The 24150-nt window shown below is 62.0% G+C and overlaps 2 protein-coding genes across 12 annotated transcripts in view, besides 7 other annotated features; one reads left to right on the forward strand and one right to left on the reverse strand.

Annotated features, from left to right (window-relative positions):
• STAB1 (stabilin 1) overlaps window positions 1–13406 on the forward strand; it is a 29158-nt gene extending 15752 nt beyond the window's left edge. Inside the window, exons 26-69 of one of the 8 annotated variants that reach the window (NM_015136.3) lie at window positions 561–656; window positions 1252–1347; window positions 1507–1554; window positions 1739–1869; window positions 2041–2152; window positions 2628–2705; window positions 2794–2892; window positions 3026–3124; window positions 3276–3407; window positions 3612–3740; window positions 3900–3956; window positions 4334–4417; window positions 4954–5149; window positions 5267–5362; window positions 5453–5498; window positions 5603–5679; window positions 5895–6020; window positions 6231–6304; window positions 6461–6535; window positions 6792–6914; window positions 7223–7270; window positions 7447–7524; window positions 7634–7780; window positions 8175–8315; window positions 8416–8475; window positions 8855–9031; window positions 9115–9201; window positions 9311–9460; window positions 9553–9609; window positions 9715–9916; window positions 10272–10421; window positions 10507–10611; window positions 10755–10862; window positions 10948–11141; window positions 11241–11385; window positions 11466–11599; window positions 11686–11851; window positions 11936–12045; window positions 12133–12252; window positions 12338–12487; window positions 12563–12667; window positions 12782–12928; window positions 13011–13124; window positions 13211–13406. In NM_015136.3, the coding sequence (NP_055951.2) occupies window positions 561–656; window positions 1252–1347; window positions 1507–1554; window positions 1739–1869; window positions 2041–2152; window positions 2628–2705; window positions 2794–2892; window positions 3026–3124; window positions 3276–3407; window positions 3612–3740; window positions 3900–3956; window positions 4334–4417; window positions 4954–5149; window positions 5267–5362; window positions 5453–5498; window positions 5603–5679; window positions 5895–6020; window positions 6231–6304; window positions 6461–6535; window positions 6792–6914; window positions 7223–7270; window positions 7447–7524; window positions 7634–7780; window positions 8175–8315; window positions 8416–8475; window positions 8855–9031; window positions 9115–9201; window positions 9311–9460; window positions 9553–9609; window positions 9715–9916; window positions 10272–10421; window positions 10507–10611; window positions 10755–10862; window positions 10948–11141; window positions 11241–11385; window positions 11466–11599; window positions 11686–11851; window positions 11936–12045; window positions 12133–12252; window positions 12338–12487; window positions 12563–12667; window positions 12782–12928; window positions 13011–13124; window positions 13211–13267 (4926 nt within the window). In that variant the 3' untranslated portion in view covers window positions 13268–13406. Of the gene's footprint in view, window positions 1–560; window positions 657–1251; window positions 1348–1506; window positions 1555–1738; window positions 1870–2040; window positions 2153–2627; window positions 2706–2793; window positions 2893–3025; window positions 3125–3275; window positions 3408–3611; window positions 3741–3899; window positions 3957–4333; window positions 4418–4953; window positions 5150–5266; window positions 5363–5452; window positions 5499–5602; window positions 5680–5894; window positions 6021–6230; window positions 6305–6460; window positions 6536–6791; window positions 6915–7140; window positions 7271–7446; window positions 7525–7633; window positions 7781–8174; window positions 8316–8415; window positions 8476–8854; window positions 9032–9114; window positions 9202–9310; window positions 9461–9552; window positions 9610–9714; window positions 9917–10271; window positions 10422–10506; window positions 10612–10754; window positions 10863–10947; window positions 11150–11240; window positions 11386–11465; window positions 11600–11685; window positions 11852–11935; window positions 12046–12132; window positions 12253–12337; window positions 12668–12781; window positions 12929–13010; window positions 13125–13210 lie in introns of those variants that run through there. The other 7 variants (XM_005264974.2, XM_005264973.4, XM_047447776.1 and 4 more) reach the window with 7 other exon arrangements.
• Window positions 7967–8575: an enhancer, noted in NCBI's record as "H3K4me1 hESC enhancer chr3:52553072-52553680 (GRCh37/hg19 assembly coordinates)". NCBI's record gives its function as "activates a minimal SCP1, AML or CMV promoter by ChIP-STARR-seq in primed H9 embryonic stem cells {active_cell/tissue: H9 hESC(primed)}" and the evidence as "EXISTENCE:reporter gene assay evidence [ECO:0000049][PMID:30033119]".
• Window positions 8259–8402: a silencer, noted in NCBI's record as "fragment chr3:52553364-52553507 (GRCh37/hg19 assembly coordinates)". NCBI's record gives its function as "represses an EF-1alpha promoter that drives an FKBP-Casp9 reporter gene in an ReSE screen in K562 erythroleukemia cells {active_cell/tissue: K562}" and the evidence as "EXISTENCE:reporter gene assay evidence [ECO:0000049][PMID:32094911]".
• Window positions 8576–9182: an enhancer, noted in NCBI's record as "H3K4me1 hESC enhancer chr3:52553681-52554287 (GRCh37/hg19 assembly coordinates)". NCBI's record gives its function as "activates a minimal SCP1, AML or CMV promoter by ChIP-STARR-seq in naive H9 embryonic stem cells {active_cell/tissue: H9 hESC(naive)}" and the evidence as "EXISTENCE:reporter gene assay evidence [ECO:0000049][PMID:30033119]".
• On the reverse strand, window positions 13298–23938 carry NT5DC2 (5'-nucleotidase domain containing 2). 4 transcript variants are annotated; one of them, XM_047448760.1, is made up of 14 exons: window positions 23444–23938; window positions 18061–18245; window positions 17772–17846; window positions 17548–17603; window positions 17357–17450; window positions 17094–17222; window positions 16924–16984; window positions 16740–16842; window positions 16528–16629; window positions 16205–16286; window positions 14120–14206; window positions 13874–14014; window positions 13728–13792; window positions 13298–13522 (listed from the first exon to the last, which is right to left on the reverse strand). In XM_047448760.1, exons 1-14 carry the CDS (start codon window positions 23562–23564, stop codon window positions 13381–13383), a joined length of 1443 nt encoding a protein of 480 aa, XP_047304716.1. In that variant the 5' UTR covers window positions 23565–23938; the 3' UTR covers window positions 13298–13380. The 4 variants fall into 4 exon arrangements, with proteins under 4 accessions (XP_047304716.1, NP_075059.1, XP_006713366.1 ...); NM_022908.3 differs by having other exon boundaries at window positions 13298–13642; XM_006713303.4 differs by lacking the exon at window positions 23444–23938 and adding an exon at window positions 22417–22768.
• Window positions 21878–22007: an enhancer, noted in NCBI's record as "active region_19943". NCBI's record gives its function as "activates an Ori minimal core promoter by ATAC-STARR-seq in GM12878 lymphoblastoid cells {active_cell/tissue: GM12878}" and the evidence as "EXISTENCE:reporter gene assay evidence [ECO:0000049][PMID:35858748]".
• Window positions 22138–22227: a silencer, noted in NCBI's record as "silent region_14445". NCBI's record gives its function as "represses an Ori minimal core promoter by ATAC-STARR-seq in GM12878 lymphoblastoid cells {active_cell/tissue: GM12878}" and the evidence as "EXISTENCE:reporter gene assay evidence [ECO:0000049][PMID:35858748]".
• Window positions 22258–22607: a silencer, noted in NCBI's record as "silent region_14446". NCBI's record gives its function as "represses an Ori minimal core promoter by ATAC-STARR-seq in GM12878 lymphoblastoid cells {active_cell/tissue: GM12878}" and the evidence as "EXISTENCE:reporter gene assay evidence [ECO:0000049][PMID:35858748]".
• Window positions 22668–23167: a silencer, noted in NCBI's record as "silent region_14447". NCBI's record gives its function as "represses an Ori minimal core promoter by ATAC-STARR-seq in GM12878 lymphoblastoid cells {active_cell/tissue: GM12878}" and the evidence as "EXISTENCE:reporter gene assay evidence [ECO:0000049][PMID:35858748]".
• Window positions 23939–24150: the final 212 nt, after the last annotated feature.

A 24150-nucleotide genomic window follows, 5' to 3' on the forward strand; every position in this document is an offset into this window, starting at 1 on the left:
GCTGGAGCTCCAAACCCCATTAGGGCCTTAATTCAGAACAGAGGTGTTGAATGAGCCAGTGAGATGCTCCCAACGTGCAAACAAGGGCACCTGAGAGCTGAGGGGTCTCGCTGGTCACTCACCTGCAGTGTAGACAAGCCCAGGGACACTGGCATTTGGTTGGGGGATTAGAGCAGCTGAGTAGGGTGGCAGGGGTGGAGGTGGGATCTAAGCCACTATCCTGGGGCTGGCCTTGGCAGGTACCTACACACTTGCCACAAGCTGTTGGCCTCAATGGCCCTGGCAGGGCCCCAGGCTCCAAGTGCAGGAGCACCAAGTCTCCACGGATGCTTCTCTGCAAATGCTCTCACCTCCGTGGACTCATCCTGAGAGCCAGTCTCCCCTTAGGGCCTCTGTCTCCCCATCTGGAGCACAGATCTCTGAGAGGAGGGCTGGGAGAAGTTCCTCTGGGGTCTGGGCAGACCTCCCTGGGGGCAGTGACCAGAGAGAGCCAAGTAATGGAGGAAGAAAGGGTTGGATGCTCATCATGAGACAAGGCCGTCTGTTCCTAACCTTTCCAGAGCCGATGCACCTGCAAGCTGGGCTTTGCCGGGGATGGCTACCAGTGCAGCCCCATCGACCCCTGCCGGGCAGGCAATGGCGGCTGCCACGGCCTGGTAAGGGGGTGCAAGGCTCAGAGCCCTGGGGAAGCTTTCTGGGGTGAGCCTGGGCTGCAGCTCTCTCCCTCCCTCCCCATCTCTGGGTGTCTCTCTGTACCCCCTCAGGATTAAGATCTTTCTAAACTTCAAATCCAACCATGTCACTCCTCTCCCCCTTCACCCGCCCCTGCCCAGCCTCGTCTCTCTGTTCCACTCCTGCCCCACTTCCACTGTCCTTGGCTACGCTGAGCTCCTCACCATCCCCTGCCCTTGCTCCACTGTACCACACTCCTGCTTCTGCAAGCTGCACCTGGGCCTGGCTAGCTCCTCCTGCTCTCAGCTCTGGCTCCTGGGGATACGGGCCTCCTGGGTCCTCCCACAGCCCTGAGCTCCCTCGCATCCACCTGGCATGGGTAATGCTTGTGTCAAATGCCCAGTGTCCTGGAGAGCAGGGCTAGGCACACCGAAGGAGTGCCACCAACACAGACTGGGTGGCTGCAGAGCAAGGGGCAGGGGCTGGGGCTGGGTGGCTGGACAGGCAGAAAGATGGGGGAGGGAGGGGCCCAGCTGCCATCTGGTTCTGAATGGAGGCCCTTTCTCACTCCCACCCCAGGCCACCTGCCGGGCAGTGGGGGGAGGTCAGCGGGTCTGCACGTGCCCCCCTGGCTTTGGGGGTGATGGCTTCAGCTGTTATGGAGACATCTTCCGGGTAAGGGGTGCTCAGACTCGTTTTCTGTCTTCCCCGTGCTTGGGAAGGAGCCCTCTCCAGCACCTCAGGTGGGAAAGGGGCACTGCTCAGGATCCATGGTGGGGAAGGGGCTTGAATTTGCCCCTGGTCCTGTGACCTCAGACTTTTCCCTTCCCTTAGGAGCTGGAGGCAAATGCCCACTTCTCCATCTTCTACCAATGGCTTAAGGTAGGACAGGGCAGAATGCTGGGGTTGAGGGCTCAAATCCAGGAGGCCTGCCTGGATGGAGGGGTGCCATATAACATCTCCAAGCGTGGGAGGTTGGGGGCAGGGCTGGAGCCTAGAGCAGGGGATCTGAAGATGATGGCTGCCTTCCTCGCTCCTCCCGCCCCTGCTCCCTGTGTGCGTGCAGAGTGCCGGCATCACGCTTCCTGCCGACCGCCGAGTCACAGCCCTGGTGCCCTCCGAGGCTGCAGTCCGTCAGCTGAGCCCCGAGGACCGAGCTTTCTGGCTGCAGCCAAGGACGCTGCCGAACCTGGTCAGGTGGGGCCGCCATTGCCAGGCTGTGGGAGGGGCTTCCTTGAGGGACCCAGTCCCTCCCCAGCGAGTCCTCAGCCTGGCAGGCACTCACCCCTTGGGGTGGGCCCAGCCCCAAAGGTCTCTGTAAGTTACACTAACCTGATTCCATGACCCCCCTAAACTGTGCCCTGTCAGGGCCCATTTTCTCCAGGGTGCCCTCTTCGAGGAGGAGCTGGCCCGGCTGGGTGGGCAGGAAGTGGCCACCCTGAACCCCACCACACGCTGGGAGATTCGCAACATTAGTGGGGTATGTGGTGAACTCTGGGCAGAAAAGGGGACCAGGTAGGGCATGGGAGGGAGCCTGAGTGGCTGCAGGCTCTCCCACATCAGGGGCCCCATGGGATGAGATTGGGGTCCCCTCGCCCTGCCCAGAGCCGGGCTCAAAGGATGTGCTCAGGACGCATTGCTGATGGACACTGAGTCGCTGGGCCAGGAGTGACTGCCTGCAGGGGCTCTCTGTCCATCTCAGTCTGCACATGCACACCCGCCCCTGTCACCACGGGCCCTGGGGAGGGTCTGTGTGCCCAGCTGGTGGGTCCTGAGTCTGACTCAGGATCAGAGTCAGCTCCTGGGAGGAGCTTCTGTGCAGAACCCAGCTTGTGGGCCAGCCTGCGGACCACCTGTGGGTGCCTGTGTGCCTGGCAGTCTCTCTGTTGGGGCTGCCCCACCTTTAAGGGTCTATCTGTGCCCACCTGTGGCTAAGCTCTGCTGCTGCCTTCCAGAGGGTCTGGGTGCAGAATGCCAGCGTGGATGTGGCTGACCTCCTTGCCACCAACGGTGTCCTACACATCCTCAGCCAGGTACAGCAGGAGGAGGGTGTGTGCAGGGAAACTTGCAGGCAGGCCGTGAAGCAATGACATACTGACCAGGCCCTGTGCTCTGTACCAGGTCTTACTGCCCCCCCGAGGGGATGTGCCCGGTGGGCAGGGGTTGCTGCAGCAGCTGGACTTGGTGCCTGCCTTCAGCCTCTTCCGGGAATTGCTGCAGGTACGGAAGGCTGGCAAGAGGGGATGTGCCTGCTCGGGGGACACTGTGCCCCAGGTCCAGAGGGACCTGGCTGGCTCCCAGTGTCAGGACTGACAACTAATATGCCCATCCCTGACCTCCACCCCATCCCTAGCACCATGGGTTGGTGCCCCAGATTGAGGCTGCCACTGCCTACACCATCTTTGTGCCCACCAACCGCTCCCTGGAGGCCCAGGGCAACAGCAGTCACCTGGTGAGGCCGTGGGGATGGGGCAATGGCAGGGAGGGCAAAGGCATAGAGGGCGAGCCTCCAATCCCACCACGAAGGGACACAGTGGGTGTGGCGTGCTGTCCAGGGCACTTGGTTATCCTGCAGTCCCCTGGGTTCTCTCCTTCTCTTCCAGGACGCAGACACAGTGCGGCACCATGTGGTCCTGGGGGAGGCCCTCTCCATGGAAACCCTGCGGAAGGGTGGACACCGCAACTCCCTCCTGGGCCCTGCCCACTGGATCGTCTTCTACAACCACAGTGGCCAGGTTTGGGGGTCAGGGAGCAAGGAGACCCTAGCCCGGGCCCCTACCCCTGAAGATCCCTTCCCTTTGGAGTTTCCCTAGCTGTGAGCCTCCAACCTCTAACCTCTGCTCCAGGGAGCCCCCCGGCCCTGGAGTACTGCCTGACCTTACAGCCCTGCCAGGTGAGGGTGGTAGGTGGGTGGATTCAGCCTCCATCCCTCTCCCCAGCCTGAGGTGAACCATGTGCCACTGGAAGGCCCCATGCTGGAGGCCCCTGGCCGCTCGCTGATTGGTCTGTCGGGGGTCCTGACGGTGGGCTCAAGTCGCTGCCTGCATAGCCACGCTGAGGCCCTGCGGGTGAGAGGCTGGGGCCACAGGAAGGCCGGCACGGGAGTTCAGAGCTGGGAGGGCCTAGCTGACCTGACTAGTGGGGAGGGGCGCATGGTCAGTCTGTCCTGGAGGAAGGGCAGGGATCCAGGCCTGGACTGCCTGATGCCCCACCCTTTTTCCCTCTAGGAGAAATGTGTAAACTGCACCAGGAGATTCCGCTGCACTCAGGGCTTCCAGCTGCAGGTGAGACTGGGCTTAGCGCAGCTCTGTCCCTGTGTTGCCTGCCCTCACTTCTTCCAAGGTGCCCAATCCCCTCACCCTCCAGCCCAGTTTTGCTTGGCCCAGGCATCCAGGCTCAGGGAACTGGGTGGCTGACGTCCCCATAGAGGTCTGGAGGGCTGGCCTGGCTCTGCTGAGGGGAGACTCTCTCAGACTTGCGGCCCGAGGCTTGGATCCTGTCCGCCCTCTCCCATCAGTCTGCCTGTCTTGGTCCCTCTCTGACCCTTCTGCTGTTCTGCTCAGCTGCCTGACACCTGTAGTCCATCTGTCTGTCTCCCCATTCACTGCCCTGCCCCTGCCCAAGCCACTGGCTGACCCCTCCTGCCTGTCCCCGTTTCCAGGACACACCCAGGAAGAGCTGTGTCTACCGATCTGGCTTCTCCTTCTCCCGGGGCTGCTCTTACACATGTGCCAAGAAGATCCAGGTTTGCCCTGAAGCCCCCACCCCAAGCCTGTCCAGAGAGAAGGAGGTGGGAGTGGGTGGGGGCCCAGGGAGGAGCCCAGTTTGGATCTTAAGGACAGAGACTGGGCTGGGACTAGGGTGAGGCCAGAACCCAGAGGAAGGAGATGGGAGAGAGGTCTGAAGTCAGAGGGCTAGTGTTTGTCCCTGTGTCCACTCCCCCAGGGAGAGGGAGTGGAGACGGTGAGAGGAAGAAAGGGCAGTCCAGAGCTGGTTCCATCAGCGAAACCCCAGGGGCAGCAACTTGGCCTGGCTTGGCCCCTCACTGTGGGATCTGGGTGCAGCCCTTCCTTGCTTGAGCCTCAGTTTCCCCACCCTGCCAGAGGGAGGGTTTTAGGAGGTATCTCTGTGTCTCTTTCAGCTCTGAGCTGCTCATCCCTGGGACTGGGGTTCTGAGGGGTTTTGCTCCATGGCTCTGTGGCCCCGAGATGCCCCCGTTCCCCTTCCCCCTGACACCTTGCTGGGCCTCTCTCGCCCTCTCTCCCATCCCCACGCCGACAGGTGCCGGACTGCTGCCCTGGTTTCTTTGGCACGCTGTGTGAGCCATGCCCAGGGGGTCTAGGGGGGGTGTGCTCAGGCCATGGGCAGTGCCAGGACAGGTTCCTGGGCAGCGGGGAGTGCCACTGCCACGAGGGCTTCCATGGAACGGCCTGTGAGGTGTGTGAGCTGGGCCGCTACGGGCCCAACTGCACCGGAGGTGAGGACTGGGGAGGGGCGGGGGTGGGCCTCCTGGCAGCAGAGAGCAGCCTGGAGACCCCAGCCGGGACAGGATGGAGGCACTGGGCAACTCCTATCCTCCTTTATACCACTGCAGTGTGTGACTGTGCCCATGGGCTGTGCCAGGAGGGGCTGCAAGGGGACGGAAGCTGTGTCTGTAACGTGGGCTGGCAGGGCCTCCGCTGTGACCAGAGTGAGTGGGTCCCAATGGGGAGGGGGCAGGTGGCTACTGAGGAGGCTGTTCCTGGGTCTGAATGACCAGAGTCATCCTCCTGCCCCCCAGAAATCACCAGCCCTCAGTGCCCTAGGAAGTGCGACCCCAATGCCAAGTGAGTGGGCCCAGCCTGGGGCGGGTGGGTGAGTGGCGGGGAGCCTGGGGGTCAAGGCACGACTGGACAGGCATGGGCTAAGCTGCTGCTACCACCCCTCCCAGCTGCGTGCAGGACTCGGCCGGAGCCTCCACCTGCGCCTGTGCTGCGGGATACTCCGGCAATGGCATCTTCTGTTCAGGTCCAGCCACACGGATGCCCAGGGCCCTCCCTGAAATTTTGGGGTGGCTGTCCCCACAGAGCCCCCTTCACTTCCTCTAGGCCCAGCCCCCCTCACTGTCCCATCTCAGGACTCACCCTTCCCTCTGACCTTTTCCTTTCTCTCACGCCCTCCTCTCCTGTCCTGCCTCCGGCCCCGTGCCTGCTCCTGAGGACTCTCTGGCCATCTCCCCTTAGAGGTGGACCCCTGCGCCCACGGCCATGGGGGCTGCTCCCCTCATGCCAACTGTACCAAGGTGGCACCTGGGCAGCGGACATGCACCTGCCAGGATGGCTACATGGGCGACGGGGAGCTGTGCCAGGGTGAGACTAGGCCCCTAACCTGGGTTTATGTTGGGCTAGGGGTCTGGCTTCAGTGATCTGAGTCAGATTAGGAAGGGCTGAAGGGGCACATGGGACTTGTGGGGACTGGGGGCGCTGAGAGAGGAGGGGGTGGGACAGATGAAGGTACAAAGGACAGAGGAAGGGGGGGGCCACTAAGGGCCACCCCCATCCCAGTGTCTCTTCCCCCAGAAATTAACAGCTGTCTCATCCACCACGGGGGCTGCCACATTCACGCCGAGTGCATCCCCACTGGCCCCCAGCAGGTCAGCATGGCAGGGTTGGACATGGGGCATCATGCCATGCCCTCACAGGATGGGGCCTCCCTTCAGGGCAGGCCCGGGGAGGGGGGTGACCCTTTTACCCAGGGTGCTGGCCAGCTGTTGGCTCCCAGCAGCCCCACTGATCAAGACTGGGGACAGGTCTCCTGCAGCTGCCGTGAGGGTTACAGCGGGGATGGCATCCGGACCTGCGAGCTCCTGGACCCCTGCTCTAAGGTCAGGACCCTAGTCCTGTCCTCCTTCACTGACGAGAAGGAGAGGGGACTGAGGCAGGAACCAGCCCTTCTCACCTCCAGCAGGGTCCTAAGGGCCTCTGCAGGGTGGGCTATCCTCCCGTCAAGCTCGAGTTTAATCAGTAGCAAATAGGATCTGGGGGGCTGAGCAGGGGCCTTCATGGCCTCTTTCACAGGGCTGAGTGGGATAGAGAAGTAGTGAAAGCCACTGATACCTTCCTCTCCTGTCCCTGACTCAGAACAATGGAGGATGCAGCCCATATGCCACCTGCAAAAGCACAGGGGATGGCCAGAGGACATGTACCTGCGACACAGCCCACACCGTGGGGGACGGCCTCACCTGCCGTGCCCGAGTCGGCCTGGTAATGATGCCCAAGTCAGACCCCTGATCTGGTCTTGGCTGTGCCCCATGGGCCTGACCCATGGTCTTGGCAAAGATCCGATTTGATCCTGATTCTGGCCCTGACCATGACACTGAGCCTGACCCCTGATTGTACCTGGGCCTGACCCCAGCTATGACCCATGAAACTAGCCCTGACCCCAACTCAGACCCCGCGGCTTTCCTTTCCTCATGTCTGCCTTGGCTAGACCTTGGGCCGCAGGTGCTGGGACAGGCACCAGGCCCTGAATGGGGGCCGCCCCAAATCTGAGCTGACCCTCGCCCCCCCAGGAGCTCCTGAGGGATAAGCATGCCTCATTCTTCAGCCTCCGCCTCCTGGTGAGTGGCCAGCTTGGGCCTCTGTGACCTGCAAGTCCCACCCCTCTCTGGACTTCTGTCCCCATCTGGTCAGGGGGTTGGCTGGTTTGTTCTCTCTGAGTCCAGGTCTTCCCCAGGAGATCCATGGACGCCTCAGGCTTCTCCCATTCCACTCATGCTGTTGCTGCCTCCCGCAGGAATATAAGGAGCTCAAGGGCGATGGGCCTTTCACCATCTTCGTGCCGCACGCAGATCTAATGAGCAACCTGTCGCAGGTATGCAGCCCCCAGAGCGAGGCTGGGCAGGGCTGGGTGCTCTGGTGGTGGCCCTGCGTGGGCTGAGGCGGCAGTCAGGGACCCCACTCCCCTCGCGACTCTGCTCCAGGATGAGCTGGCCCGGATTCGTGCGCATCGCCAGCTGGTGTTTCGCTACCACGTGGTTGGCTGTCGGCGGCTGCGGAGCGAGGACCTGCTGGAGCAGGGGTACGCCACGGCCCTCTCAGGGCACCCACTGCGCTTCAGCGAGAGGGAGGTGAGCCCTGGCCCTGGCCTGCCCCGCTCCATCCCGCCCCGCCCCGCCCCTGCGCGCCATTGCCCCAGGCCCCACGGCCCACGCAGTCAAGAACCCCACCTCCCCTAGCCAGGGGGCGCCTCCTGCTGAGTCCAGCCCGGGACTCCGCCCTTGACCTGGGCCTCGCCCACTGCTGTGGGCCTGTCCTGCCCAGCGCCCTTGTGTCCTTCCGAGGACTGAGCCCCGCCCCCTGCCCTGACTCCGCCCCAGACCCCGCCCACCTCGTCCTGGTCCCGAAGAACCGGGACTGCCTGCACCCTGACTTGCCCAACCCAGGTTCAACCTCCACCTCAGGCCCCGATAGCTTCCGAGCACCCCACCTATCTGCTTCATCAGCCCCGTGCCCCGCCCCCAGGGCAGCATATACCTCAATGACTTCGCGCGCGTGGTGAGCAGCGACCATGAGGCCGTGAACGGCATCCTGCACTTCATTGACCGTGTCCTGCTGCCCCCCGAGGCGCTGCACTGGGAGCCTGATGATGCTCCCATCCCGAGGGTATGACAAGCACGGGCCTGGGAGCTGGAAGACAGGCAGGTGGGGGCCTGGGATCCTCCCTTCCCGCCTGGCCTAGCTGTTTATGAGAGCCTTTCCTCAGAGAAATGTCACCGCCGCCGCCCAGGGCTTCGGTTACAAGATCTTCAGCGGCCTCCTGAAGGTACTGCTCCCGTGTGGGCCTGTCATTGTGGACACACATGCACGTGTAAGTGTGTGCAAGTGTGTATGCGTACCTGTGTGTGCATACCCACCTGTGTGCACACTGTCCCGTGTGAGCCTGTGTGAACTCATGTGTGCACAAGCCACATCTGTGTGCATGTGCACCCCAGGTTGAGCACATGGGTGTGCTTATGTGTGCCCACATTCCTGACAGCAGTGTGCACAGTTGAGATGTGTGCACACACATGCCTGCCTGGGATGGTCACAGATGAGTGTGGGTGAGTGTGGAGCCCCTTCCTGCTCTGTGGCACAGCCCCCTGCCTTTGCTAACTAGTCTCTGACTGGGCAGCGACTGCCACATCTTTGCTGCACCCCACCAGGTGGCCGGCCTCCTGCCCCTGCTTCGAGAGGCATCCCATAGGCCCTTCACAATGCTGTGGCCCACAGACGCCGCCTTTCGAGCTCTGCCTCCGGATCGCCAGGCCTGGCTGTACCATGAGGACCACCGTGACAAGCTAGCAGCCATTCTGCGGGGCCACATGATTCGCAATGTCGAGGTGGGTGCAGCCCCCAACCTTGGTCTTCACTGCCTGCAGCTCAGCCTGCCTTTCCACCTCCAACCATGACTCCACTTGCTCAGGCCTTGGCATCTGACCTGCCCAACCTGGGCCCACTTCGAACCATGCATGGGACCCCCATCTCTTTCTCCTGCAGCCGAACGCGGGCCGTGAGTCTGGGGAGAGGGCTTGGATGAAGGGAGTAGGAGGCAGGGGCCCTGGCAGTAGCAGCTGGAGTGCACCTGCGACCCTTGCATACCTCATATTCTCTCCTTGCAGGGTGAGCTCATGGTGGGTGAGGATGATGCTCGCATTGTGCAGCGGCACTTGCCCTTTGAGGGTGGCCTGGCCTATGGCATCGACCAGCTGCTGGAGCCACCTGGCCTTGGTGCTCGCTGTGACCACTTTGAGACCCGGCCCCTGCGACTGGTGAGGGAGGCCAGAGGCAGACGGGCAGAAGCCCACCCCGCCTGTGGTGTCCATCCACCTGACTTTGCTGTATTGGCCTCCCTCCCTTCCAGAACACCTGCAGCATCTGTGGGCTGGAGCCACCCTGTCCTGAGGGGTCACAGGAGCAGGTACAGGGCTAGGGGCTGAGTGGGGGTGGTGGGGTGGGGGCAGGCAGAGCCCAAGGACCACCAAACTCAGAACCACCCAACTGCGGCCTGACTCCTTTGGCCCAGGGCAGCCCTGAGGCCTGCTGGCGCTTCTACCCGAAGTTCTGGACGTCCCCTCCGCTGCACTCTTTGGGATTACGCAGCGTCTGGGTCCACCCCAGCCTTTGGGGTAGGCCCCAAGGCCTGGGCAGGGGCTGCCACCGCAATTGTGTCACCACCACCTGGAAGCCCAGCTGCTGCCCTGGTCACTATGGCAGTGAGTGCCAAGGTGAGCATTGCAGACACTGTTGACTAGCTCCTCTGTTCCCCAAGAGAGCCAAGGCACAGCTCTGGCCATTGTCCTTGAGAGAGTGTTGGGGCGTCCAGGGCTGGGGAGCTCTGGGTGGTGAGTAGATTTTACTAGCGGGAGTGCTCGGGAGAGGCATGGCGGTAGTGTGGACGGTGCAGAACCTGGGGAGGAGTGCTGGGGGGTCTGGATGTTCTCCAGGACATGGGCCTGGAGGGATCTTAGCAGTGGGCGGACATAGGTCAGGGACAGATGGCAGGGCTAGGCTGGAGGTACGTATATGGGGGTCCTGGTGAGAGCCCCTGGCCCCACCTCACTTCTCCTACCCCATCCCCAGCTTGCCCTGGCGGCCCCAGCAGCCCTTGTAGTGACCGTGGCGTGTGCATGGACGGCATGAGTGGCAGTGGGCAGTGTCTGTGCCGTTCAGGTTTTGCTGGGACAGCCTGTGAACTCTGTGCTCCTGGTGCCTTTGGGCCCCATTGTCAAGGTGGGCCATCCCTGCCTGCCCCACGGCCCGATTCCTTTGGCCCTTGTGGGCCAATCTTTATCTTCCTGCCTGTCCCTCTCCCCAGCCTGCCGCTGCACTGTGCATGGCCGCTGTGATGAGGGCCTTGGGGGCTCTGGCTCCTGCTTCTGTGATGAAGGCTGGACTGGGCCACGCTGTGAGGTGCAACTGGGTGAGTAGCCCCGTGCTCGTGCCCACCCTACACACTTGTGTACATGTGCACACATCAGTAAAGGCACCAAGGGTGGGTGGAACGGGCAGAGGCCAGGAAGGCAACTACTAACCTGGTTCTGGGGGCTGGGCCCTGGGGGACAGAGCTGCAGCCTGTGTGTACCCCACCCTGTGCACCCGAGGCTGTGTGCCGTGCAGGCAACAGCTGTGAGTGCAGCCTGGGCTATGAAGGGGATGGCCGTGTGTGTACAGGTAAGCAGATGGGCGGGGACATGGAGGTGGGAGGCCCCCACTCCCCTGCAGTCACTAGGTCCAACCACTCCCTCCCTGCCCTCAGTGGCAGACCTGTGCCAGGACGGGCATGGTGGCTGCAGTGAGCACGCCAACTGTAGCCAGGTAGGAACAATGGTCACTTGTACCTGCCTGCCCGACTACGAGGGTGATGGCTGGAGCTGCCGGGCCCGCAACCCCTGCACAGATGGCCACCGCGGGGGCTGCAGCGAGCACGCCAACTGCTTGAGCACCGGCCTGGTGAGCAGGTGGGGGAACCGAGTAGCCAGGGTGGGGAGGCCTGGCAGAACTTCCGACCTCTGAAGGGTGAAGGGCGCCCACTGCTCTCTCCAACCCCAGAACACACGGCGCTGTGAGTGCCACGCAGGCTACGTAGGCGATGGACTGCAGTGTCTGGAGGAGTCGGAACCACCTGTGGACCGCTGCTTGGGCCAGCCACCGCCCTGCCACTCAGATGCCATGTGCACTGACCTGCACTTCCAGGGTGTGTCCCCCTGCCCACTCCCAGTACCCATTTCATTCCTCAGAGCCGGCCAGCTGACCATGCACCCCTCCATTCTGCAGAGAAACGGGCTGGCGTTTTCCACCTCCAGGCCACCAGCGGCCCTTATGGTCTGAACTTTTCGGAGGCTGAGGCGGCATGCGAAGCACAGGGAGCCGTCCTTGCTTCATTCCCTCAGCTCTCTGCTGCCCAGCAGGTGTGTGGGGCCCAGAAGTTGGGGCCAAGTGTTGGGGGAGGCCTTGACTGGGTCTTGGGTCTTAGTATCCCCTCCTGTTCCTACAGCTGGGCTTCCACCTGTGCCTCATGGGCTGGCTGGCCAATGGCTCCACTGCCCACCCTGTGGTTTTCCCTGTGGCGGACTGTGGCAATGGTCGGGTGGGCATAGTCAGCCTGGGTGCCCGCAAGAACCTCTCAGAACGCTGGGATGCCTACTGCTTCCGTGTGCAAGGTGTGTCCACCCGACCAAACCCTACTTCCCCTGCTCTGCCCCTTCCCACCAATCTGCTGAGCCACTGACCTGCTTTTCCTGCAGATGTGGCCTGCCGATGCCGAAATGGCTTCGTGGGTGACGGGATCAGCACGTGCAATGGGAAGCTGCTGGATGTGCTGGCTGCCACTGCCAACTTCTCCACCTTCTATGGGGTGTGTGGGGGCCACCCTTGGGGGCGGGGGGTGCTGGGATCCCCGAGGAGGGAGCCTGCTCATAGTTCTGTCTTTCCACCGTGCCAGATGCTATTGGGCTATGCCAATGCCACCCAGCGGGGTCTCGACTTCCTGGACTTCCTGGATGATGAGCTCACGTATAAGACACTCTTCGTCCCTGTCAATGAAGGCTTTGTGGACAACATGGTAACCCCCAAGGGTGTGGGCAGAGCAGAGCCTGCATTGGCCATCTCCATCTGGCCCAGGCCAACAGGCCTTGCTCTGCTCACAGACGCTGAGTGGCCCAGACTTGGAGCTGCATGCCTCCAACGCCACCCTCCTAAGTGCCAACGCCAGCCAGGGGAAGTTGCTTCCGGCCCACTCAGGCCTCAGCCTCATCATCAGTGACGCAGGCCCTGACAACAGTTCCTGGGCCCCTGTGGTGAGTCTGGCCACTGTCCCACCCTGTTGGCCCTGGCCCTCGCTCACAGTGGGCCTGACTCTGGTCTCCCTGCAGGCCCCAGGGACAGTTGTGGTTAGCCGTATCATTGTGTGGGACATCATGGCCTTCAATGGCATCATCCATGCTCTGGCCAGCCCCCTCCTGGCACCCCCACAGCCCGTGAGTTGAGGAAGGGGGAGGCAGAGCCCTTCCTGGCACCCCCACAACCTGTGAGCCCGGGGAAGGTGGTGGGACAGCTCCCGCCAGGTCAACACTCTCCCTGTTTGTTTGTAGCAGGCAGTGCTGGCGCCTGAAGCCCCACCTGTGGCGGCAGGCGTGGGGGCTGTGCTTGCCGCTGGAGCACTGCTTGGCTTGGTGGCCGGAGCTCTCTACCTCCGTGCCCGAGGCAAGCCCATGGGCTTTGGCTTCTCTGCCTTCCAGGTAGGGCTGGGTTGGGGCTGCCATGGCGGGTCCTTGGATCTCGCTTGAGGCGCCTCGCCACTCACCCCTCTGCTGCTCCCAGGCGGAAGATGATGCTGATGACGACTTCTCACCGTGGCAAGAAGGGACCAACCCCACCCTGGTCTCTGTCCCCAACCCTGTCTTTGGCAGCGACACCTTTTGTGAACCCTTCGATGTAAGCATGGAAGTGAAGAAGTGTGGCAGATGTGGGATGGGCCCAGGCCCTGGTCACACCCTCCACCACCAACCCTGCTCTTCTAGGACTCACTGCTGGAGGAGGACTTCCCTGACACCCAGAGGATCCTCACAGTCAAGTGACGAGGCTGGGGCTGAAAGCAGAAGCATGCACAGGGAGGAGACCACTTTTATTGCTTGTCTGGGTGGATGGGGCAGGAGGGGCTGAGGGCCTGTCCCAGACAATAAAGGTGCCCTCAGCGGATGTGGGCCATGTCACCAAGGAAGGGGGTCTTCATGCAGCCGGTGCAGAGCTGGTCCATCCAGAGGGGTGCCTCGTGCTGCAGCGGCGTACGGCGTGGGTAGAAGGTGAAGTCCACGCGGTAGTTGAGCAGGCAGCTGAGGGAGGCCATGTAGAGGTCAGAGAAGCGCACGAGGCGCCTTGAGAAGTAGGTGGGGTTGTGGAAGGTGCGGAAGATGCTGCCGAACTGCGCATTGAACAGGGCCTTGGTGATGCACCTGGCGAGGGAGACACGATGCGCTCAAGGGGTGGGCCTGGGGTGGTGGCTTGGCTGGGACTCCTGCCCTGGCCCCACCTGCTCACCTCAGCTCCTGCCGCTCTTTCATCCAGGCAGCCAGCACCTGCCTCGACTCCGCGTCCTGATAGGTCTGGGGACACAAAGTGTGCATTGGGTGTGTGCACCCAGGAGGCTACCGCCCTGGCCCTCCCACAGCCACCCCGGCCCACACCTGCATGCGCTCCAGCAGCCCCGTGAGCGCCTGCTGCCACGTCAGCGAGTGCATGTACTGCTCCGTGTTGATGATGCGGATCTCACGCTCCAGCTCGGGGATGATGGCGCCTGTGCGCCAGCCGTGCCGCAGCATGAGATCCTGGTGGGTGGGGCGGCAGAACTGGGCTCAGCGCCAGTTGCTGGGGGCGGGGGGGGGGGGGTTTCCTGGCCCTCCCCCACTGCAGCCCAGCCCTGCCTCCCTCACCGCCAGATCACTATAGAGGTGGTCCCCGAAGTAGAGCACGCGGGGGCCACGCCATTCCGTCAAGCGTAAGAAGTCAAACAGGTTTCCCTAGGGAGAGGAGGGGAATGCTGCTGAGCCAAGTGTGCCTTGTCCTCCACCAGTCCTCCCTCCCGAATCCCCAGAGGCAGCCCAAATCCAGCCGGATGCTGGCTGCCCTTTCCCATGGCCTTGCTGCTCCCTCCCTGGGCCCTGGTTCTTGTCACTTTCCCCTCCTACTTGGGAAGGGGATTCTGCCTGCTGCAGGAAGGTGCCCTACAGGCCTGGCATGGTGCCCATGCCTCGAGGGCCTTCTCCCTGTGGTCTCACACGTACCCCAGGTTAGGGATTAGATCCCTGTTTGTAAGGTAGAAACTGCAGGGAAGGCTCTGCAGCCCTGAAGTCCTTGCTGGCCTCCCCTGCCTCAGTGCAGAGGGACCTGGCAGACCAATGGCAGACCTCACCGGGGCCACCAGCATCTTGGAGCCAGAGAAAGATGGAGACACTCAGCCAGGCCCACATGTAACTGGGGAAGCTCACAGGGTGGCAGAAACTGAGCGGCCCAGAGCAGGAATCACCAGACTAGTGCTCAGGCAGCAGCCACCAGGGTAGGAGTCCACACCCCAAAAGCGAGAATAATTGACACCCAGCAAGCACAGTTCTTGAAGCAGTCTGTGCATTCCAAGCCTCAGAAGTGGAAGCGCTGGGGGAAACAGGTGGTGTGGGAGAAGCCAATTGCTGAACTAAGTTCAAGTGGAGGGGCAGAGGCCCAGGCAGGCCCCAGACCAAGAGAAAGAGTCTCAAAGGGCAGGAGACTGACAGACTCCTAGTGACTGACAGGCAGGATCCAACACACAGTGGAAAGCAGCTTCAGAATACTGGGCATAAAGAACTGCCTGAAAGCTGCCAGGGAAGAAAGTCATGTGTTTCTCACAAAGGTGTATGACCCTCTTTAGCTGAGGCTGGATGCCAAGGCAGGGGAGAGCAGCGCCCTCAGAGCTGAAGGGACGCACCTGGGCCCGAGGGCTGTGGAGAGTTTGGGTGCGGAAGGGTGGGAGGCAGAGAAGTGGGCAGGGCTGAGAGGGTGGGGGTGTTTCCTGCAGGCCAGGCTGGGCATTGGCCACCTCCACATTGCTCCCCTGGCCAGCTGCTGGCTTCCCCCTCCTCCAGCCCCAAGGCCTTTAGAACCCCTAGCCTGAAGAAGCCCAGCTCAGCCAGGATTTCCGCATTCCAGCCAGGGCTAAACCTTAATCACTGCCTGCTCATAGACACCTAATCCCACCTCAACACCAGTCCCTCTCATTTTCCTAGCCAGGTAGGAAGGAGGAGTTTCTCTAGATCACCCAGTGAGCTGCCCCCAACCAGACTTGTTCTGGCTGCAGCAGAGTGCTCAACCCCAAGAAATGACACCATTCATCAGGCATTTCACGATCTCTGACCATTCTTGTTTTTTGAAGACAGGGTCTTGCATTGTTGCCCAGGCTAAAGTGCAGTGGTGTGATCACAGCTCACCACAGCCTCGAACTCCTGGGCTCAAGTGATCCTCCCACCTCAGCCTCTGGAGTAGCTGGGACCACAGGTGCATGCTACCATGCCCCGCTAATTTTTTCTATTTTTAGTAGAGATGGGGTTTCGCCATGTTGGCCAGGCTGGTCTCAAACTCCTGAGCTCAACAAACTATCCTGCAGCCTCAGCCTCCCAAACTGCTGGGATTATAGGCATGAGCCACGGTGCCTGGCGCACTGGCCATTCTGAGAGCTTTATACCACAGCTTCAGTAGAGAGTATTACACCTCTTTTGCAGACAAGGGAAGCAAGGCACAGAGGTCAGGCAACCAGGCCAGGCTCCCTCTGCTGAGTAGTGGAGTTAGGAATTCAAAGCCAGGCTGCTTGACCCAGAGGTCAAGCTCTCGAGGCCACCCAGACCTGCTCCCTGCCAGCCATTGCCTGTGTGAGGCTGCTCAGGGCCAAGGAGCTGTGCTGCTTCTTCAGAGGCTGCCTCTGCACAGCCTGGGGCCCTAGCTAGGCCCCATGCCCCCACCACATGCTGCTCTCCCCAGATGGCCCTTACCTGCCGATAGATCTTGCCCTTTTCCAAGCGGGTGATCCGGTCCCACTGAAGTGAGCCCTTCTCATCGAGTTTTCTGAAAGGCCTGGGGTGCAGGTAAAGGGCATGACTTCCAGTCTGTGGCTGGGCCACGGGCCGGGCAACCCCCATCCCTCCTCCGTAAAGGCCCACCTGCTCAAGTGGACCCATGCCAGCAAGGGGGTGTTCTCACCCCAAGCACATTGGGCAGTGGGCAAGGGCCAGGTTGGCCTCCTGCTTCAGTCCCCTCATTGGGGTGGGGCCTCTATTCCCCTTCCCTGGCCCTGCAACCCCCACCATGCCCATACTTGCGCCGGTCAGTGAAGAAGCTGGGCTTGTCTGCCTGGACAATGACCACATCGAAGAGCTGGCGCCAATCGGGACCCACCATGTGCCGCATCCCCTTGTCTCTGTGTGGAGGAGTTTCAGGTGGCAAGTAGTCTGAGGGCGGCTCCGTGCCTGCCCTCCCCACCCAGAGCCCTGGCCCTGCTGTCCCTCCATCCACAGGGGCTGGACTCACACGAAGCTGAAAGGACTGTTGGTGATGAGGAACAGCTGTTTCCCATGGGCCACCAGGCGGCTCAGGACAGCAAACGTCTCATCCCCTCTCAGGATGTACTTCTCTAATGGGGCAGATGAGTCTGTGAGGGTCAGTCCTGCCACCTGCTCAGGCCGGCCACGGCAGGGCTTCTGTCCACACTTACCCATGTCCTGCTCGATCCACTGGTACATGAGGCCCTTCACATGCACGTCTCGGATGGCGTCCTGGGGGCAGTGGAGGACAATGAGGGTACAGCAGGGCCCAGGTGGGGCTGTCCCACTGTGGCTGGACTTAGTCTTTCCTGCCATCCGAGGGCAGGCCCAGCATCCTCACCGTCACGTCCTTGTAGAGATGTGCTTGGTCAAACTCCAGGCTGTGGCCCAGAAAGTAGTCCACCACACAGGACAGCAGAGCCATCTCCGGTAGCGAGAAGATGTCCATGAACTGCTTAATGGAGGGACCCTGGGGAGGGGGCCATTGTCTCAGACACCCTTTGGGACCCCAACCCCTTCAGTGCTGGAGACGAGGGCCCCAAATCTGCCTTGGGACATGGGCACATGTCCATGGGGCAGGCTGGCTGCTGGGGTATGGAGTACCTTGCCATAGAAGCCACTCATCTGGTATAGTGGGATGTGCTGGGTACCCCCATACAGCTCAATCACCTCCTCGTCTGGCACAGGCTGGAGGCCCCTGAGCAGGCCCAAGATACCATCAGTCCAAGGTAGTCCTGAGCCAGAACAGCAGTGTAGGGTGGGGCGGGGGTGGGGTTGGGGCAGAGCCGACTGACCTGTAGGCTGTCCCCAGCTGCACGTAGTGGAAGGCGTCAATCTTCATCAGAAGGCTCTGGGGGCGCCAGGGAGGCAGGACGGATGGTGAGGAGGCAGTTTCACCGTGGCCCCAAGCCAGCCTCTTTCAGCCCATGCCAGAACCCCAGCTGGATGGGACGGAGGGGTAATGACCATACCAAGAGGAGGCCAAGGAGGGAGCCCCTATACAGGTCCAGCCACTCACCTTCTGAATGTCATAGTGGAGGCCACGGATGGCAAAGCTGGGGTTGTAGTCATACTTCCGAATCCCTTCTGGGTACTGCCGGGGGAAAGGGGCCAGGCCTAAGCCAATAGCCCTGCCAGACCTGCTGGCTGGGTGGCCACCCCAGGGGGTCAATCCAGCCACCTGCCCAGGGCAGCTGCCAGGCAAGAGGGCCAGGGGAGCCCCACGACTCAGCCCTGAGCTTAGGCCAAGGTGGGTCTGGCCAGCCTCCAAGCCCTGGGTTTGTTGGTGGCAAGGACCCCCGTCTCACCTTGTAGTGCTCGATCAGGATGTCACGGGCGGTACTGAAGATCTCGGGGTGCAGTGCGTCTGCATACTGGGCCAGGGTGTAGTCGTAGTCAAAGCCGTAGACCTCAACGTCACGCAGGCTGATCTCGTTGTTGGCGTAGATGGCTGCTGGGTTCAGGAGACTGCAGACCTCGGGGGGCAGGAGGTCTAGAGGAAGGAGATGCAGGGAGGCAGTGATGGGGATGATGATCCCTGCAGCAGCTATGGCTCCTGAGCACTCTGTGGGGACCTAGCCCTGTGAGCCTCAGAAACGCCCCACAATGGCACCTCTTATTCCAGTGCTGGAGATGGTCAAACAGGCCCAGAGAGAAGTCACTTGCCCAGGGTCACGCAGTTAGGGTAAGGCAGAGCCCCTGGCTGGAGCTCCTCCTCATGGTTACACCTGCCTACATTACACTATCTCCTATAGCCCACCAGGTATACTGAGCCCGTGACTACTCCAGGCCCTCACCACTAAGCCCCATCAGACACAAGGCCATGCTAGAACCCTGGCAGCAGTCACTCAACTCCTCACCGCCTAGCCCCAGAACAGCTGCTTTTGGGATGCTCTACAAAGCAAAGCCTCCCACTTGCTCAAAACCCGTGCAGGAACACCACTGTCTGGCCCCCCACAATTCAGCGCCTCCTCTGCTCCTCTCAGCTGCCCTGCCCTGCCCCCTGGCCTCATCTCTCAGCCTCCCTGGGATTATGTGTGAGGATACCATGTGGGCACTGAGGACTCCAACCCAGAGGGGCTGGCTCTGTATGGCCAGACTAGGGGGTTGAGGCCATGGATGCTGACTTTTCTACCTTGCCCAGAGCTGGGACTGGGGCTCAGGAACATTAGTGGGAGGGGGAGCCCCTCTGCCGATCGGGCTGCCAGCTCTGTGCACTTCCCACAGCCCAGGGAGAGTGAGGCCCCTCTAATCAGATTTCAGCTGCCCGCAAGCCCATATAATGACATTTGCTGGCTCTAGCCAGGGAACATTGCTAATTACGACAGTCAGGACGTGATGTCAGGTTCTGGGCCATTATCCAGGTTGCTCCTTCTGGGGATGTGGTCGTGGCCACCCCAAGTCCCTGGCTGCTCCCAGGAGGCTGCAGTTGGCTTTGAGGCCCACAGCAGGGTGCTGAGCAGAGCACTGTGTGGCATGGGCTCTGGGGTCCCAAGGAGGCAGATGGGGCTGAGAGGCCCCATGTTACCTGCCCTGGTTTCCCTATGTGTACAATGGAGAAAGTGGAAGGGAAAGGAAAGGGAAGGAGATGTGCTAGGAAGGCCACATGCAATGAGGTCAGCCAGACAAGACCAGGCCCTCCCTCTCATGGCTATGACTTCAGGAATGTCACCTCACCTCTTGGGCCTGTTTCCTAGTTTCTAAAAGGGTACAAAAAATTGTACCAAGTGGGGCATGGTGGCACACACCTACAGTCCCTGCTACTCAGGAGGCTGAGGCGAGAGGATTGCTTGAAACCCAGTAGTTCAAGACTGGTCTAAGCCATATAGCGATACCCTGTCTCTGTGAAAACATTTTTAAAAAGAAAAAAAAAATTGTACCAACCTACAGAATTACTAAGACTGTCATATGGAAGGTGCTGCTCTGTGCAGCAATCTCACTCTGCACCTGCACATATGCAGGATTAAATGGGTGATATGTTTCCTGAGCCTATGAGCATCCTGTCCCCAATTTCCCAGTGTCCCTCCAGAAGCAGGGGCTGCAGGGAGAAGGGAGCAGGCAGGACTAGATGTACAGGGTACATCTAGTACCCCTGCCTTGCAGGGGCCCCAGCTCTAAGACTCCAGGGGATCCCTGTCTCAGCCACAACCCCAGTGCCGATGACAAAGCAGGAGCTGCCAGGCCAGAGGGCCAGGGAAGCCCCACAGTGTGCCTGGCAGCTGCTGCACTCAAGAGGCAGACATCTCGCTGATGTGCTCCGTGCCCAGAGCACTTGCCTCAGAGGCACTCTGGGGACACAGGGCTCCATTCCCACCCCTTTCCTTTGGAGCCAAGTTCAGGGTGTGGGTGGGGGATCAGGTGTGGCTGGTTCCCCAGGCCAGCACAGAGCGGCTGCTCCGAAGATCTGTGGGTGTAGACAGGAGTCTTCACTTGGATGCAAGTGAGACAGTTGACTGCAACGCTCTAGGGAGCTGCTTCTGAGCCACCCCTCAAGGCCCAGGGTTCTGGTGTGTCACTAGGACCCTGGGCCTTGCCCTTCCCATGGCCCTGAGTTCCCGGATACCAACTGTGACTGTGACTCTTGGTGCAGAAGACCTGGGAGGGTCTGCTCGGCAGTGCAGCCCCTTGCTGGCACAGAGTCCTGGTTAGGTCCAGGCCTTCACCTCTGCCCCTAAGGATGTTCCCAGGGGCCCAGGGGCAGACAGTCCTCCCAGGAACAAAGCAGGATGTGGAAACAGCCACAGGGCCTGGTGGCCTGGCCTGATTTCTAGACTAGAAGAACCTTGGCTCTGGGGCGACAGAAGCCTGTTCCCTTCCATAGGTGGTGTGGGTGGGGGGTGGGGGTGGGGCAGCTGAGGGTGTGTCCCACTCAGCATGTCCAGCAATTGCCCTCCTTTCTCCTCAGCCCTAGCTCCCACACCTGCCCATGGTGCCAGGTCCCAGGGCCAACTGCTCCCTAGCAGCCGTGACACTTGTGGATGCCTTAGAGGCTTGTCTTGTTCAATCCTCACTCCCATCCTGTGAGGCAGTCCCACTTATTCCCCCATCGTCCGGAGGAAGAAACTGGGGCTCAGGGAGGTGAAGTCACTTGCTCCAAACCACCCAGTAACAGGCACCGGGGTTGAGATCACCATTCAAGTCACCCCACCTGCATTAATCACTCTGCCTCTCAGCCTAGCCTCCCAATGTCACCACACTGAGGCCAGGTGGGTGGGGGCTGGGGGACTGAGGGACCTGTTGCACTGCTCTCAGCCCGTGGGCATTAGCCCAAAGCGGACCTCGGCGCCCAGAGGTGTGAAGCTGGCTCCTGCTGGTGCTCACCATGGGATCTTGGTGGGAATGACTTTGCTCCTTGTATGACAAGAGGAGCTTAGAGGGCTGTGAGGCTCCAAAGATGCAGGCAGGCCCAGGAGGACAATGTCCAGTAGATCCCCGTAGTCCTCCCTGAAACCTCCAAGGCAGGCTTCTCAGGATACTCTGAGGGTCTTCTCCGGGCCCAGAGCAAAGACTTCTTAAATAACGCTGGGCCGCCCCTCCACAGACACAAACTCAACCTGGGACCTCGAGGGTGGACAGATGCCCAAGGCTTCAAAATGACCATTCCTCAGGGGCCTTTACCATCCTGCCTTTACTGGTCAAGAAGTGATTCTCCGCCACCCCACAAAGCCGGAGTGAAAACCCCTGTCTAGCCAGTTAGAATCTTCCAGACAGGGCTACTTTGTTTTATCAGACAACAAAAGCCACGTCACCCCTGGGGGTTCCTCCGGAAGCTCTCCTGCCCTGCTTGGCCTGGTTCCAGTCATCACCCAACCCTGGGACAGAGAGGCCCCAGGACTGCGTTTCATGCTTGAGAGAGGGTGAGACTTGCTGGGGGACCACCCAACTGGTCAGTGATAGGGTCACGACCCAAACCATATCTGTCTGCTGCAGAAGCAGGGCCCCACTAGACCCACGGAGACAAGCAGGCAGATGTCCAGCACTCTCAGCTCTGGGGCCTCACTAGTGCGCCCCAGCCGGCCCCCTCCAAGAAGGGGCCTCAGCCTCCTCACGCCATTTCTCAGAGGGAGAGAGCAGGGACAGGGAGGTTAAGTGCCCTTTGCAGCCCTAGTCTGGGCTCCAGGGGGCGGGGGTGACTTGGCTTCTCCCAGCCTTCGCTGCCCGGGCTGAGAGGGGGCCGGACCTCCAGGGCGACATCGAGGTGTGTCTGGGAAGTCCAACCGGTGTCCCCTTTGGTCCGGCCGTCCCTAGGAGCCCGTTCCGCCCGGCGCCGCTCGCTGGCTTTGTCCACAGCACTCTCCCGCCCCAACTAAGGGTTGGCCGAGAACAAGGGGTTGGGGGCGTTTCCACCGCGGCTTCACGGCAGGCGGGACCCCGAAGGAAGTCGGCGGGGGCCCAGCACTCCGGCAGCCGCTCGAGGAGCCCCGAGCTCCTGCAGACCGAGCCGGGGAACAAACCTCCCGCCCGCCCCCGGGCGTCGGGGCGCCCCAGAGGCCCCCGGGATGAACGGCCGGAGCTTCTCGCGAAAAGCCGCCCGGCCCTTGCGCTCCGGGGCCCTGGCGAGCCCCACTGGGTGTTTCCCCGGAGGAGCGGCACCCTGGGGCTCGGTCCGTCCATCAGTCCACGCGGAAGACACCCCGGCGCACGTCCCGCCCCGGCTCACCCACCGTGCACCAGTCTCCGCATGTCCTGGTAGCGAGCCCATAGGTGCGCGCTGAGGTCGGCGCCGCTGGTGGGTGCCTGGGCGGGCGCGGAGCGCGGGACGCCGGGGCAGTGGGCGCCGGGACCCGGGGGGCCGCACCCAGGGCAGGAGGGCGAGGACGAGGCGGCTCGCGGCCCGCCGTGGCCTCCGCACAGCAGCCAGCGCCGAGCGGCCGCCCGCAGCCCCGCACCCGCCATGCCCACCGCGCGCCGCCCGCCGCCCGCGCTGCCCTCGGCCAGCCCGCCGCCCGCCGCCCGCCGCCCTCCGACTGCGCGCCCGCCACGGTGGCCTCGTGCTCCTCACGGCGGCCGGCCAATGGGTGCGGCGCGCGGAGCCCGGCCTGCCAATGGGCGCGCCCCTCGGCCCGGGGGGCGGGAGGCCCCGGACCCGGCGGGGCGGGGCGGGGCGGGGAGGGCTCCCCAGCCCCCTCCCCCAGCCAGTCTCCGGCGCGGTCCGGGAGGACTCTGCGCCCCCCTTCGGCCGTCACGCCGGCGATGGCGGCGCCTTTCCCTGGCCCCAGCCCTGGAAGTCAGCGGGCCTAAGAGCGGCCGTCCCTGAGAGGCTCCGGACGGCCGAGGCGCCGAGAGGAGACAGCCGGAGCGCGACGGGTACCCCCCGGGCCCCCGGGTCCTCTGCCGCCCTCTCCGCTCCCGGGTCCGCCCGCCCTACCCTGCGCCTCTGGATGCTTCTGACCCCAGATCCTCCGCTCCTCCCCCTAGTCCTGGTGCTCTCCTTTCCCGGGGTCCTGGTCCCCGGTCTCTGGGCTCGGACTGACTGCCCACTGACCAGAGCCCGGGCCAGTCCACTCACTGGTCTAACAAATAAAGAGCCCTTCCCGCGCTTCCCGGTGCCAGGCCCACGCTGGGGGAGGCCGAGGGGCCTGCAGGGCAGCCGACGTCCGCTAACCAGGTGACTGGGCCGTGCGCTGCAGGGTTGTGGGCCACGGTCACTGCGCCCGCTTGGTTCGGACCTCGGCAACTGGCCGCACTGACCCGTCAACTCCCGGTTTCCCGGCGCACGCCCCTCGTGAGATGCTGTGGTCTTTTCTAGCAACGTCGACAGGCTTTCCAACAAAATTCCTCTTTCCTGCGCAGAACCGCTCTCCACTCGCATTTCTTCTGCTCAGATCCGTATTCCGAGCCCGCACGCATACCAGGCTGTGCTCAGGGTCCGGAGGAGGCCGACCCAGTAGCCGTGGGCCCTGTCGGAGGGGAGCCAGCTGGGCGCGCGTTGTTTTCTGAGGTGGCCGCGCTGTCTTTCAGGGTGTGTGTACATTCGAAACTCCACTGAACCTTGATTGAAGACCTACAGTGTGGCAGTCCATGGCCTGGGGACTGGTAAGGATTGAGGCCGTAGGATGGGCTCGAGTGTGGCGGTGTCCCCAGGGCCCCAGTGAGCAAGTGGGTGTGCTGGGAACCTGGCCACAAGTGAACCTCCTCCAGGCGAGGGGATGCCCTGCAGCATCCAGCCGTCAAAACCTCCTGTAGAAACGGGAGCGAGCATCAAGCCTGTGTGTGTGCATGCTTGGGCGGAGTCTACCCGGAGGAGAAAGAGGCTTCCGGGCTGGCCCTCCAAAGCCGGTTGTACAGGCGGCAGCTCAGGCTGCTCACTGCGGGCCCTATGACCCTTTCTGGGGCCCTGCTTGCTCTCTCCAGTCTGCTTTTGTATATTTTGTGTCCATATCACCAAATCGTCTCAT

The sequence above is a fragment of the Homo sapiens genome, chromosome 3 (genome assembly GCF_000001405.40).
Source record: "Homo sapiens chromosome 3, GRCh38.p14 Primary Assembly".
NCBI classification, from domain to species: domain Eukaryota; kingdom Metazoa; phylum Chordata; class Mammalia; order Primates; family Hominidae; genus Homo; species Homo sapiens.

Excerpts from the sequence above, each read along its gene's own strand:
- NT5DC2 (NM_001134231.2), bottom strand. The coding sequence starts at position 22,648 with ATGGCGGGTGCGGGGCTGCGGGCGGCCGCTCGGCGCTGGCTGCTGTGC. Across the intron at positions 17,223-17,356 it reads TGAGTGGCTTCTATGGCAAG|GGTCCCTCCATTAAGCAGTT; the intron begins GTACTCCATACC and ends CCCCCTCCCCAG. Across the intron at positions 13,793-13,873 it reads GGCTGCTGGAGCGCATGCAG|ACCTATCAGGACGCGGAGTC; the intron begins GTGTGGGCCGGG and ends TTGTGTCCCCAG.